The 15,443-nt window shown below is 38.7% G+C and overlaps 1 protein-coding gene across 1 annotated transcript in view, besides 3 other annotated features; it reads right to left on the bottom strand.

Annotated features, from left to right (window-relative positions):
• Positions 1-15,443, bottom strand: part of NFKBIZ (NFKB inhibitor zeta) — a 33,033-nt gene that overhangs the window by 16,831 nt on the left and 759 nt on the right. Inside the window, exon 2 of the mRNA NM_001005474.3 lies at positions 14,504-14,579. The gene's annotated coding sequence lies outside the window, so the exon portion shown is untranslated. The remainder of the gene's footprint in view (positions 1-14,503; positions 14,580-15,443) is intronic.
• Positions 1,273-1,567: a silencer, noted in NCBI's record as "tiled region #1067; K562 Repressive non-DNase unmatched - State 24:Quies". NCBI's record gives its function as "represses a minimal TATA promoter and a strong SV40 promoter by Sharpr-MPRA in K562 cells {active_cell/tissue: K562}" and the evidence as "EXISTENCE:reporter gene assay evidence [ECO:0000049][PMID:27701403]".
• Positions 6,666-6,715: an enhancer, noted in NCBI's record as "active region_20184". NCBI's record gives its function as "activates an Ori minimal core promoter by ATAC-STARR-seq in GM12878 lymphoblastoid cells {active_cell/tissue: GM12878}" and the evidence as "EXISTENCE:reporter gene assay evidence [ECO:0000049][PMID:35858748]".
• Positions 14,646-14,705: an enhancer, noted in NCBI's record as "active region_20183". NCBI's record gives its function as "activates an Ori minimal core promoter by ATAC-STARR-seq in GM12878 lymphoblastoid cells {active_cell/tissue: GM12878}" and the evidence as "EXISTENCE:reporter gene assay evidence [ECO:0000049][PMID:35858748]".

Genomic DNA, 15,443 nt, shown 5'->3' with positions numbered 1-15,443 from the left:
CTTGAACAGTATGTCATTGCCATTTGTTCTAATCAAATACTGTTTGAGTTGTGAGCTGAACTGCCCTCTGTTTTTCATGGAACACCAATTATACTTGACTGACAAACTGTTTCAGACTCAGGTATTTGTCAGTTTTTGGTTTGGTTTGGTTTTGTGTTTTAATGAACAAAGTGAGCCTGTCATGTTAAGGAAAATAACAGTATTTGTTGCCAATAATAAAATTCAAGTTTTTCAATAAAAATTACAATTTTGGGAAACTTCTGTTGGACACCTTGAGCTTGATAGCTTCCTAGTTCTAGAAGACTTTTTTGATGAGCCCAGTGATGATGCGCTATTAACAAATGTGATTTTTTTATATTATATAATGAAATGTGGCAACATTTAGAAAATTTGCATAACTCAATTAACTAATAATTTCCAAATGAACAATGCAAGACATTATAAAATCACACATGGGTGAAAGAGCCATTCAAAGTGGCCAATGGATTTTAATGTATCAGAAGATGTGGCCAATGGATTTTAATGCATCAGAAGATAAAAAGTTCATTGATATGGTTTCAGGTTCCATCTTGCATCTCTCCTTTAAGGAACTACCACTTGTTTTGGTATAATATTAAATTAGAATATCCAAATTACCTGAAAAGACTATTAAGCTATTTCTTCCTTTACCAACTACATTTGTGTATGAGACCAGATTTTCTTTATACTTTCACCAACATAAGATATTGTGACACATGTTTCTTTTTTAAGAGACAGGGTTTCACTCTGTCACTCAGGCTGGAGTGCAATGGCATGATTATAGCTCATTGTAACCTCTAACTCCTGGGCTCAGTCTCTCCTCCCACCTCAGTCTCCCCAGTAGCTAGGACTACAGGCATGCCCCACCAGGCCTGGCTAATTTTTTTTATTTTTCATGTTTTGTAGAGATGGGGTCTGGCTGTGTTGCCTAGGCTTGTCTGGAACTCCTGGCTTCAAGTGATCCTCCCACCTCAGCCTCCCAAGTCACTAGGATTACAGGCGTAAACCCCTGCACCTGGTCAACTGCAACAAATTAAATGCAGAAGCAAATATGAAAATCTGTCTTCTGTAAAACCGGATGTTAAGAAATTTGCAAAGATGTGAAACAATACTGTTTGCATGAAGTTTTTTTTTTTTTTTTTTTTTTTTTTTTAGAAAATACAGTTTTTAAAAATAAATTAGTAAGTACAGATTTAAATAATTTTTAGGGATCGAATGTAGGCAATGTCCTATCAGTCAACTCAAAAGTTCCAGATTGGACTCATAATTGTTGAACACCTGGTTCTGAAACCCTCCTCTCTTCTCCATCTCTAATTTCCACTATCCAAGACAGGCCTTTATCTCTTACTTGATGCAAATGATCACCCATCCAGCCTTGCCCACTTAAAACCCATCCTCCAGACTGCCATCGGCATACCAATGGAATGCTGGAATGCCAGGAATTCTTCTAAGAATTCCTCCACACCAGGGGTGTTCAATCTTTTGGCTTCCCTGGGCCACACTGGAAGAAGAATTGTCTTGGGCCACACATAAAATACACTAACACTAATGGCAGCTGAAGAGCTAAAAAAAAAAAAAAAAGAAAAGAAAAGAAAATGAAAAAAGAAAAAGAAAAAACATCACAAAAGAATCTCATAATGTTTTAAGAGAGTTTATGAATTTGTGTTGGGCCACATTCAAAGCCATCCTGGGCCACATGCAGCCCATGGGCCACAGGTTGGACAAGCTTGCTCTACACTATTTAAAAATCCTTCAGTGGCTCTCTACTGCTTTTAGCATGGAGTCCAGTCTTCTTAGAATGACAGATGTCCAAGTCCTGCCTTCCTCACAAGCTTCATCTTCCTCATTACCTTCAGTAACACGAAACTGAGTATAGTTTCCCACAGCTCTGAGACTTTGCTCTTGCTGTTCTTCTCTCCTCTTCCTCAACCAAAATCTCATGCTCACTTAATACCCAACACTCACTCAAGACTCACTTAATATCCAACACTTCTGGAGCCTTTCCTGACCCTCCCTTCCTCCCCTGACCCCAACTCTCAACCCCACTTCTGGACTAAGGGCCTTTCCTCTCAGTCCCCACACAGACTTCTATCATAGCTCTTAGGATGTGCTAAAATTAACCATTTATGAGTCTGTCTCCTCTATTCCACTATAAGCTCCCAAGACATGTATCCCTTGTCAATAGCCAAGTACCTGTTACTTAGTAGGTAGTTACTTGGTACATATTTAACTGGATGGTAGAAACAAGTGGAAATGCTTCCAAAATTATTTTATGTCAATACCGTACAGACATCAAAACAAATACTTTGGCCCCTTGAATTAGAATCTCCTCATTCTCTGCACTTGGATTATTATAAAACTATTTTCATCTATCTTGTAAATATAAAAACCCAGCTGCCTTTTGCCCAGAATTCTTTGTAAAGAACATAAAATCTTTCAGGAGCTTTCAAAACAGATATCATCTTATATGTTGATTTGTTGAATGCTTTTCCTTAAAAATAATAATTTATTATCCCCATAGCAATGTAAAACATACTTCAACATCTCAAGAAACATTTAAACTTCAGGGTATTCTAACAGATTTTTCTAATGCAGATGAGTAAATCAGACCACATATTTTCAAATTCTAGTTATTCTTCAATATGGTAGTGCTTTATAAATGTCAGGTACTTTTCTAAGTACTGGGGCACAGCGGTACCTCAGACAAACACTAATCTCTGTCTTTGTGGAGCTTATACCTGGCTGTATGAACATTCTGGTCCATATGGTATCCATGTAATAGAAACAATTACTACTTCTGAGACATATGAACTCAGTTCTACTGGCACTTATATACTTCCCAATAGGCCACCTGACCAACCAGGCTATGGCACAGACAGCTGTAGTTAGTAAGTTCTGTAAGCTTTTTCCTTACAAGAGTGTAACCTATTCTTTTGTATGTTTTAATCTGGAAAGATCAAAAGGTTGTCTTTAAAAGTAATTCTCTAGGTCCTGTTTGCAGCAAATTATTAGCACCTGATATCAAAGCACAGTATACCATATTGAGGAAATTTCTCCAACCAGTAACCTAATCATCATACAGATGAATTAGCAAAAGGTTTGCACATCTCAGAACATCCTGCTCAGTGCTAAGAGAATAAACTTGATACCCCGTTAAGTACTGTATGTATAGTATGTACAACTTTGCATATTATGGACTGATTGTGTGAAGACAAAATTAATAGTGTCCCCGGAGTCATCTCTCTGCAACTTCCTTTTATATGAAAGCATCAAAGGAGATGCCATATACCACTTTGTCCTCTTCACAAATATTTTCTGAGCACCCACTAGGTGTGAGTGAGTCGTCCACTATGTAAAGTAACTCCACTGCTTTCCAGCAGGTACACAAGGTCTGTCCCCTGATGGGCAGCCAGAGAGGCACCTTGCACAAAGTCAGGTCACACAGTTGAACATCCCAATAAACAGATGCCTTATAAACAGACCCTGAATCACAGCAATGCTACAGTACCCTGAAATACCTTTGCAGCATCCCATCTTTCTAGCCCAGCAGAAATCCAAGTGTTTAAACTGAAAACAAAACAAATTTTTCTTCCCCTTTAACATTTCATTTCTAAAGAAATGAAAAGTTCTTCCATTTGATTTCAGAAAATATCCACATACTATAAAATGCATATGGTTCATACAAAATCATATATATGAAGGAGTGATGTTTGGTGTTAGTCTGAAGGGCTACCTGTGTACCACACTTTCTAATAGTAATAATCAAAACTCACACAAAACATCCACATGAAACAAGTGCACTTTCCTAACTTTCACCCTGTAAATGGTTCTTAGCTCATGAGAGTGTTTTCTGGTTTCTATTTATAATGATGAACTTTACCCACTATAGACACCAAGAGGTAAAAATGAAGTAGGTGAGCTTTGTCCAAAAAGGCAGAGAGCATTACAAGTTCCATGGCTTCTTCTGCTTTCTCTGACTTGTTGACAACTCCAAAAGTTTCATTTCCACACATATGAATGAAAGCATCCTCCTAAACACTGAATGTGGGAATACTGTCAACTCTTGCCTGCTTTAAAGGACACTAAAATCTGAACTGCCTTAAAACAGAATGGTGAAGGACCAAAAAGTATCTTCTAATCCCAACTCCCCTTTCTCCCTCCTTTTTTCCTCTCCATTCTTCTTTGTGACACTCTTTCCTACACAAATCCGCAGATTCTAGACAGTAATACATAGTTCAAAATTACCCATCCCTGTACCCTTCTACTGTAAAAAATGTACATGCTCTGGGAAAGGATCTCAGTTTTCAGGAAGAAAACTAATAAGCTAATTTACATTGTACTACAAATAAATGATAACTGTTACTTTTCCTGGTAATATTTACTTTTTAAGGAGAAAAAAAATTTTGAAGGCAATTAACCCCAAAGAACTGAATATTTTATAGTTGAATTTTAGGATCCACAGAAATTAAGAAAATTTTTGACGAAAGACCCTTCACCATTCCTTTGTATGAGGTTTGGCCTACATGGATCTGCAAAGGCCTAAAGCTAAGAAACTTCTAACCATTATACTTTTCCTTTATATTTTGACTTAAACCTCTTTTCCCCCAAAGAAAAGGCTAAATTTGGAAGGTGAGTTAAATTGAGCTTAAATTGAGCTCACTAATCTAGAAATGAAGTACAGTACTTGTAAATGTTCAGTACATAGTTGCTTCATAAACATGTTGATTAGAATTTATGTTTTGCAAAACTTTCATATCCAAAATCTTCTTCCCCCTTCCCTTTTTAATACAGGTAACACATATTTGTCAAACTGAATGAGGGATAAGAATATAATTTTATGTCTTATTTAAAGGCATGAATGCCTTATATGCCACATTTTTTCAAGAAGAATTTTAATTCTGGAACTTTTAATTCAGAATTTAAAACTTGAGGTTTTTTTGTTTTGGGGGATTTTAAGAAATTTTTGTTTGTTTTTATAAGTCTCTAGGGATTTATATTGAATTTCTGTAAACAAGGACAGTAGTGTGTGCCACACAGAAAGACTAGTTATAAAAATATTTAAGATCTGAGGAGAAATCAGCTTATATCATATGTAACATATATTAATACCAACAAAATAATAAATTATAGATCCATAATATAATAATACTTTGGAACACTGATAATGTTTATAATAGCTACCACTATTTAATATCTGCCATATGCGGAATACTATGTACTTTATATACACACATTATCTCTAATGTATGTAACAGCTGGGAGAATGGTCAAAGAGCGAGGTAAAATATGCAGTTATGAAATCTTGCCAAACACAATGCATACTAACAGACAAAATACATCAAACATGCATAGCTATCAACAGGAAGAATTTTATGAAGGGATAATTTAATACTGGAATTAGTGAGGAAAACTGAATTCTCAGTTACTAAAAGACTATGCAAATTTAATACAAAGTTGATGACAATTATTTATTCAAACAATCACCTTACCTCCCCAAAATTGCTTTTGCTTACATTTTCTGGATACTTTAGGCCAGGAGTTGGCAACTACGGCCTGCAGGCCAAATCCAACCTATTGCACAGCTGTCACCTAAAAATGGTTTTTACATTTTAAAATGATTACATTTTAAATGTTTATATAAGTGCCTGCATAATATCCTCCATCTTGTCTCTTGGCCCACAAAACCTAAAATTTTTACTATTTGGCCCATTACAGAAAAAGTCTGCCAACCCTTGCTTTAAGCAAAAGTGCTTAGAGGCACTGCAGTGTCATGGCTTTGAAGCCTGCATACCTATCTGTAGCATTTACCAGCTACGTGACCTTGGGCAAATCTCTTAATCTCTGAGCCTCAGTTTACTTGCCTATAAATTGAGATACTAGTATCTAAATCAAATTTCTAATATGGCATGAGATAATGTACAATGTATGTCAAGTACTTGACACATCCTAGATGCTTAATAAGTGTTAGTTCCATTCCTGTTCCCATAAATTATTATGACCATTGAGTAAATCTCCCTCTTATTTGTGTGCATATGGCTACAGGGAGTGGAAAATGATAGATTACAGGTTGGACAAAAGCTGTTAGTCATACCTTGCATCTATATTGAATTTTTCTCCCAGAGCACTTTCACACGTATGCAATCAAACTGATTACAAAAGAGCATAATTATAAAAATATCATAACTGTAGAATTTGTAAGTCAGACAACTATTACAGTGAACAGTTCTTAAAGATGTACTAAACTGGCCATAGGTTCAGTAAACAGGTTCTCTTGTCGATGTCCTTCTCTTTTTCTCTGTTTTCCAACAATCATGCTCAGAATTTCATCTCCTAATCTGATTCTGGATTTTATAGACTTGTCCTGTTGCCCTGCAGAGTGTCCTCTTCCCATCAGCCTACATCATTCCATACAGTGTTAAACGTCCATAAAATTCTAGTAAACAAGGGGTCTGGGGGACCAAAAGTTAATTCGGCAGTAAAGAGGAGAGGATGGAAACCAACAAAGACACCCTTTCGTTTTACATGTTCTCTGTTCAGTTTAACTCTCAGATTCTTTCTTCTGTGATTCTCAACCCTGTGTTTTCCACCTGACAGGTATGGCATGCCCCATCAGAAAGGTGCTCTGTGGCCTGTATGATTTTTCTTTTTTTTTCTTTTTTCTTTTCTTTTTTTTTTTTTTTTTGAGACAGGATCTCACTCTGTTGCTCAAGCTAAGTGCTGTGGCTCAATCACCCACTATGATTTTCAAAAAGGGGATGTGTGGCCCTTGAAAACACTTCCTCAATGATTTTTTAATAGTCCTTTAAGGAGGAATTCCCCATCTGCTGAAGAGTCACTGCTTTAAATGACTTAACACAATAATTCTAGTGCCAGGTATACCACTCAGACTAGTGAGAAAGAAAAGCTAGATTTACTGAGTCTTCACCTGTATAAAATACAAGTAGATTCACATTTACCTTTGATTATGATCCCTTAGAAAAAGGAAAGAGAGTGGACTTGGTTTAAATGCCTATCCTACCTAAGGTTGTATTTTATGACTTCATCACACCATCCCATAATTGGCAGTACTCCCAGAGAAAAGAATGGAGAATGGTGTAAACAGATTTCTTATGTTCATATGATCTGGCACCCACATCGGTACAATGAGATGGGAATCTTTAAATACAGGGAAAAGAGACCTCACAGAAACCAAGGACTCCACAAATAACCTATGAAAGTTACAAAAAATATAAAAGTAGATACGAATAGATAATCTGATCAAAGTAACCAGAGTGCTGAAATGCCTGGCTTTTTAAAGAGAGTCATAACTACTTTGTCATAAAGAAATGATGTAGCAGAGAAGAGACCAGGTGATCTTGGTTTGGGGAAAGTACAAGTTAAGGGAAAACACAGAAACAAACCCAAGTTTTTAGGTTGGATATTTAGAGATTCTCAAACATATGTGTCTGTACGTTCATTTATTAAAAGACATTTGTTAAAGAACAAATTTTTACTTTAAGAAAAGATAAAAGGGAAATATCCAGCAATCTAATTATCAAATTAAATTATATTGATTATAGAAATTCACCTATTCATGGATTCACTCAGTAAATATTTATTGACCACCTACAATGTTCCGGACACGCTTCCAGATACTGCGAATACAGTACTGAACAGAAAGGCCATCGATGCCCTTACAGAGCTTACATTCTACTGGGAAAGACAGACAATAATCAAAAAGCTATATAAGATAATGCCAGGTGGCCATGATGTGCTAAGAAAAGCAAAGCAAGGTCAAGGAAGAAAGCCAGAGGTGTTATTTTACGTAGAGAGTTCCCGGAGAGCCTCCCTACTATCCTCCAAACCAGTGTGACAACAAAGCAGTTTCAGATGTGAGAATTCTTGTCTCTTGTCCTTTTTGAAGTCTGAGCAATCTTACCCACTTCCACAGGTTCAGTTCTGACCTGTCTAGAGTTGATTCCTATTACTAGCTCTGACCTTTTCTCTGAGTTCTAATTCCATGTTGCCAAGAGTATAATCAAGTCTAAAATGAAACTTGCCATATTCCCCACTCTGTCCCTCTACCCTCACCAAAGGATTATCTTCATTTTTCCAGAAACCTCTAGAGGAATTAAAGATTTGACTGTTTCTACTCTTTCATTCCACTATAGAAAAGTGTTAATAGTTCCCTCTCCGAAATGGTCCCCATTCACCCCTTAGTACTCTACTAATTCTAACTACCTTTATGTTTAAGAGTAGCTAGAAGTTTGCTTGAGGAAGCAATGATATTCATGTTTTCCCCTGCTGAACCACAATTGGACCTTATGACCTTCCATATCAAAGCTAAATGTCTGTGCCTGGTTTTCACATCCTCTAAAATCAAGCTACATCAAACCTATCTGTTATGGACTGAATGGTGTCCCCCCAAAATTCACATGTTGAAGTCCTAACCCCCAGTACCGCAGAATGTGGCTATGTTTGGAGATGGGGCCTTTAAAGAGTGTAAGTTAAAAATGGGCTGTCGGGGTGAGTCCTCATCTAATCTGACTGGTATCTTTATAAGAGGGTAGAGACACCAGGGATGCCCATGCACAGAGAAAACGCCACATGTGAGGACGTAGTGAGAAGGCGGCCATGTACAAGTCAGGAGAGAGGCCTCGGAGAAACCAAACCTGCCAACACCTTATCTTGAACTTCCAATCTCCCAGAACAGTGAGAAACAGATTTCCGTTGTTTAAGCCACGCAGCCTGTGGTATTGTGTTACGGCAGCCCTAGCAAACTAAAACATTATCCCATCATACTTCTATCTCTATTCTTCAGCATGCAGTCCTTATGAATATCTTCTAAAATAGCACACTAATTCTTGCCTCCAAATTTTTACCCAAGCTAGAATTCTTGCCTGTAATATTCTTCTTCCCTTGATTAAAAGCATGGGGTTCTGAAGTTAAACAAACCTGGGTTCAAATCCAAGCTCCATTCACTTAATAACCATCCAGCTTTAATTAATTTCTCTAAGACTCTTTTCTCATCCATAAAATGGGTATATTAACTGCATTCAGCTAGTAGGTAGGTTAAACGTGGTAGTGTCATGAGATGCCTAGCACAACTCCTGGCACATAATATACACTCAATGATGGTAGTTATAATTATTACTCATTTTTCAAAGTTCTAATTAATACTTCATTGTTAAGCATTTTGGCCTCTTTGGACCATCGGCCCAACTTGAAGAGAACATAGGAGAAGAGGAGGACCACAGAGTCAAGTCTGGAACCCTTCAGGGCCCTGATGCTGCCTGCAAACAATGGACAGCAGATGTGATGGGGAGCCATTCAGGGGTTTCGAACAAGATAAAAACACGATCACAGTGGCAGCTGTGTGGAAGTGATCAGGAAAGACTCTGCAACAGTCAATGTGACAGGTCATGGAGGTCTGAACTGAAGTGGTGCTCCTGGGCATGGAAAGAGGGGAACTGTTTAGAGATTTCACACATTTAATCTATAGGCAAGAGACTGAACACAGAAAGACAGGGGAGGGGCCGGGTGTGGTGGCTCACGCCTGTGATCCCAGCACTTTGGGAGGCTGAGGCGGGTGGATCACCTGAGGTCAGGAGTTCGAGGCCAGCCTGGCCAACACAGTGAAACCCCATCTCTTCTAAAAATACAAAAATTAGCCGGGCGTGGTGGCGGGTGCCTGTAGTCCCAGCTACTCTGGAGGCTGAGGCAGGAGAATTGCTTGAACCCCGGAGGCAGAGATTGTAGTGAGCCAAGATAGAGCCACTGCACTCCAGCCTGGGTAACAGAGTGAGACAGGAAAGGAAAGCGAAAGGGAAAGGAAAAGGGAAAGGAAGGAAGGAAGGAAAGAGAAGGAGAGAGAGAGAGAAGGAGGTAAGGGAAGGGCAGGGCAGGGCAGGGAAAAGAGAGATGAGGGTCAGAGGTAACTCCAAGGCCTTGAGGATAATAGTGGTGGCACAAAGAACAGAAACAAGAAAGCCAGCTGAAGGAGAGTTGGGGAGGTACCAAGTCTGATTTTAACCTTCACATTCTGTTCCCTGCACTGCTCCTGCCACTCTACCTCACCCCTTATCTGCACTCTGATTGGGGCAGTCTCTGTGCCCTACTTATCCAGTAAAATTTCAAGAAAGAATCTAAAAATTAATTCCCACCAAGGCATCAACAGTAACCCTTCTTAAAGGTTATTTGCATTTTAAGAGAGGCTCCCAAAAATGAACAACCATGAAGTTTGGAGAGCCAACAAACCTAAGTGAGGTATGGGGTGGAGAAAGCATGTCCTTTAACATTATTATCACCACCCAGTCCACCTCCTGCCTGCTTCAATTTGGCTGCAATCTGTCACTCTGCCCTAGATTTTGACATTACTGTTGGGTTTAACAATCCCTTTCTTATCTAAATGCTGGATACTGTTCAATACTAGAGGTAAACACACAGAACTGTTTTCATTGGCTGTTTACAAGATACGAAACCTTACCACAGAAGAGCAGGGTTGGGAAGGTCCATGATATATCAGCCTCTGCCATCTTTCAGACAGCTCATCTCTCAAGACACTAGAAATGCCAAGGGTAAATTTGGCAGCCTTGCCCAGTGATCACTTTCAGTTTCCAAACTCTTATCTTCCACCTCAAATTAAACGCACCTCCTTTTCCCATAGCAAAGATACAACATAGAAAGTTCTTATGGCCTTCAGAACAACTTTTCACAGCTGTTATGATTAAAAAATAAATCATCATTTCATTTTTTTTCCACCCTGGGTTATTTGTTCAACCAAAATTTATGAAGTCACCCTGTGCTATGCTACAGAGGTGAGGGAATGGGTGTGGAAGGGGAGGAGAAGGGTAAAAATCAGAACTCACACAATTCCTATCTTCAAAGTGTCCTCAGTTCATCTTCATTCACAAGACCTAATCCCCACATCTATGGATCACCTTTGTAGCTCTGGCCCTTTTAAACCTCCAGCAAGCCTCCCTAGGTTTAAGATGTGGAACTGCATTGCCAGCGGTCCAAATTTCCAAAAAGATCTGACCCACATGGAATCTAAGTGCATTACCTCAATGATTCTCATAGGAGTTATTCTCAACCATGCACATCTTCATAAGTGTGTGCACTGTAGTATGTGGACATGCAAGGGTGAATAAATAGGAGACAGTGTTTTAATAGTGGTGCCGAATCACTGCGCAGATTTACTCAGAACTTCGTGTCATTTTCTATCACATATTCATGGTGTACGCACTTATTCACTGCACTGTGCCAAATACTGCACAAAATGAATTAAAAACAAATTCATCATGGTGCATCCACTGTGTAGAATAGTATGGCAGTTCCTAAAACAATTAAACATAGAATGACTTGATATATCCCCAAAAGTAAAGAAAGCAAGGATTTAAACAGATACTTGTACACCCATGTTCACAGCAGCATTATTCATGATAGCCAAAAGAAACAATCCAAGTGTCCATGGACAGATGAATGGATAAACAAAGTGTGGTATGCACACCTACACACACGCTGGAATATTATTCGGCCTTAAAAAGGAAGGAAATTCTGACATTTATACAACATGAATGAACCTTGAAAATATTACGCTACATGAAATAAACCAGTCATAAGAAGATAGGTATTATATGATTCCACTTACATAAGGTATGTAGAGTCATCAAATTCATAGAGACAAAAAGTAGAGGGGTGGTTGCCAGGGACTTGGGGGAGGGAGAAATGTAGAATTATTGTTTAATGGATATGCAGTTTCAGTCAAAGGGAAGATGAAAAAGTTCTAGAAATGGGTGGTGGCAAAAGTTGTAATATGAAAAGTACTTAGTGGCACTGAACTGTACACTTAAAAATGGATAAGATGGCAACTTTTATGTATCTTTTATCACAATTTAAAAATATATATTTAAAGTATTTAAGGATATAATCAATAAAGCTTTCCTGAAATAAATATGAAGCCAGGCATGGTGGCTCACACCTGTATCCCAGCACTTTGGGGTCCAAGGTGGGAAGATCCCTTGAGGCCAGGAGTTTGAGACCAGTCTGGGTAACATAGCAAGCCCCATCTCTACAATAAAAAATAAAAAAGAAAGAAAGAAACAAAAAAGAACAAAGAAGCTTGGCATGCTGGCATGCACCTGTAGTAGTCCCAGCTACTGATGAGGCTAAGGCAGGAGGATCACTTGAGCCCAGAAGGTAGAGGACACAGTGAGCTATGATCATGCCACCATGCCACTGCACTCCAGCTTGGGTGGGAGAGCAAAACTCTGTCTCAAAAAAAAAGCAAAACTTTGGGAGGCTGAGGCAGATGGATCACTTGAGGTCAGGAGTTCAAGACTAGCCTGGCAAACATGGTGAAACTCCACTCTACTAAAAATACAAAAATTAGTTGGGCGTGGTGGCATGTGCCTGTAGTCCCAGCTACTCAGGAGGTTGAGGCATGAGAATCACTTAAACTCGGAAGGCGGAGTTTGCAGTGAGCCAAGAAGGGGCTACTGCACTCCAACCATGGGCGACAGAGGGAGATTCTGTATCAAAAAAAAAGAAAGGAGAGAGAGAGGAAAAAGAAAAAGAGGAGAAGGAGGAGAAGAAGGAGAAGGAGAAAAAGGAGGAGGAGGAGAAAAGAGAAAAGAAAAGAAACTAAAAACGTTGTTCCCCCTCTGGAAACCAGTACTTTTAAAATCCATGAAAAATGAGGATGTAGACACAAAGCAAGACACAAAAAGACAACAAACCACAGAAAAATCTTTTGACCTCAGTTGAATAAGTACATCCAGAGCATTTACAATGACATGTCTCAACCTTTCTTTCAGTATTAGACCCCACTACAGGGTCTTTTTAGACATCTTTTTCCTAATCATCCCCTGATGAAAGTTTAATATCACAGATATACTGTATATCTATTATGTACTATGGCCCTTTGGGGGCCACAAACTATTGTAATAGCTAAGATTTTTCCCTGAAGAACCTATTTTTGCCCTCTTGGAGATAATATCACCCTCTCTAAGAACGCATGATTTACAGTATTAGACCCTCTACAGATTCACAGTACTAGGCTGTCTAGCAAACTTGACTGAAACAATCAGAGGAATGGGGATGCACATAAACTACTCAATGCTAAAACATATCCAAAAGTCTTCTACCAATATTAAAAGTGCCTGCATGTTGCTAAATATCTGAACAAACAGTGAAAAAATCATTTTTAATGTCTCCAAATATCTGGAGGTTGGCATTTTATAGATATAACATCTAGGTAATTAACAGTATTTTGATAAGTTTAATTCAGATATTTGGTATCATGTATAGAGAATGTAGCATTGTGATTATTGTTTAATATAACCATGACAGAATTCACCATTTGTCGTGGTTATATTTCCCATTCTATCAAAAAGACACATGCACCTGTATGTTCACTGCAGCACTTACTTACAATAGCAAAGACATGGAATCAACCTAGATGCCCATCAACAGTGGACTAGATAAAGGAAATGTGGTACGTATACACTGTGGAAATCTACACAGCCATAAAAAAGAATAGAATCATGTCCTTTGCAGCAACATGGATGCAGCTGGAGGCCATTATCCCAAGTGAATTAACACAGGAACAGAAAACCAAATACCACATGTTCTCATTTTTAAGTGGGAGCTAAACATTGGATACTCAAGGACATAAAGATGGCAACAAAGACACTGAGGACTGCTAGATGGGGGAGAGAGGGAGGAAAGCAAGGGCTGAAAAATAACTATGATCAGTACCTGGGTGATGGGATCAGTTGTACCCCAAACCTCAACATCACGCAATACACCCAGGTAACAAACCTATACATGCACCCCCTGAATCTAAAATAAAAGTTGAAGTTACAAAAATAAATAAATAAAATAAAGCTAATTACAGCTACCTAAAAAATGCTGTAGGGCTAAATGAGATCTTGCTGGTAAGCTCCCAAAACAAGTGTTTAATAAGTGTTAATTCCCAATCCACTAACTCCATCAGCGGCAGTAAATATTTTCATTCCCTACGGTTGAAAGGAAGGTATTTTACTTCACAGACAATCCCAAATTAAAGGAACAGAAAGTGCTTTAATCAGAAACCACATATGCTAGTTTTAAGGAGCCTCTTCACCAAAACTGAGAGGGGGCATGATGCTCTCCAAGCCTGTTAAAGATTACATAACCCTGAAACTGTCAGTAAGCAGAGAGCTGAATTCCCCTCTTAGATGTATTCATATGTCCTCTTGCTATGGAAAATAGCAGAAATTCAACAAATTGGTTTAAAAAAATACTACTAAACCACACACACACACACACACACAAAAAATCTTAGTTCTCATGAAATCACAGTAAAATGCCTATAAATAAAATTCATAGTAATTTTGTAGCAACTTCAAAAAAATGTCTAATTTAAGAGAAAAATCTTAGAAAAATCCCACTGCCCTTTTTGACATCAGCCAGAAGCTAGGTAACACCTGGATGCTACTTGTTTAGAAATATCAGCCCTTCTCACCCTCGAGAGTTCAGCATCAGGCCAAGAAAGCCAAAAGGTGAAGTTCAGCCAGGGCCCTCGAGATCTTCCTGTTAACCTGGGAGAAAAAAATCAAGAGGCCTCCAGATCAGTGTCAGCTATGAGCCAAAAGAAAATGGTGTTTTCAGGAGCAATTCATTATTGGTCTCAGAACAATTAGAAAATCTTTCCCCTCAGTAATGCTTTCCATGGCTCTGTAGCTTCTGAAAGGGTTTGTTTTGCTCTCTGAGAGCTTTCTTGTCTTGTCTGTTACAGGACAAGAAAGAGAAGGGTTTGCCTCCTCTTCCTCAGTGAGGAAAAGTCTGTATCTGAACAGCTGGATTATGCTGACCTCGGTCATCACCTCCACACTGGAGAGGATGCTGCCAAATGTTTCCGTCATCTGCACTGTGCACTGATGTCATGTGCTAACTCCTCTCAGACTGACTCTGCCACCGCAGTGCTCCACGCCTGTACCCTGCCCAACTGTGTCTTTGGCCTCAGCAGGATGATGTTAGAAAGACGGTGGAGAGGGGTGGTGGACCATACACCGTATTCTGAGGCCAAATAAATAAACAGGCAGGGTTATCTGCCTGTTTAGATGATCTGTGTGGCTGATGCCCTGCTCCATCAGGGATTATGCGGGGTGGTGAATGAGACTAGGATAAACTTTTCTCTCCTTTTATTGTCTAAACAACCTACTGTCTAACAGAAGCAAAAAAATATTCCACCCAGCCAGATATTTCTTTAGATGTCAGATTTAAATAGAGGAAATATATATTACCAAATGCTTAAAATTTACGTAACTGTCATCCTCTTTGGGACAGCACCTTCAGCCACTGCAGCGAATTCACTAATCCCAATGAAGAGAATCTCTAATCCATTCTATTTAGAAATGTGCTTTTATTCAAACAAAACCCCTTAACATATACAGATTATCATG

Source organism: Homo sapiens, chromosome 3 (genome assembly GCF_000001405.40).
Source record: "Homo sapiens chromosome 3, GRCh38.p14 Primary Assembly".
NCBI classification, from domain to species: Eukaryota; Metazoa; Chordata; class Mammalia; order Primates; family Hominidae; genus Homo; species Homo sapiens.
The sequence above is the reverse complement of the archived record's forward strand: the minus strand, read 5'-3'. Positions and strand labels throughout refer to the sequence as shown.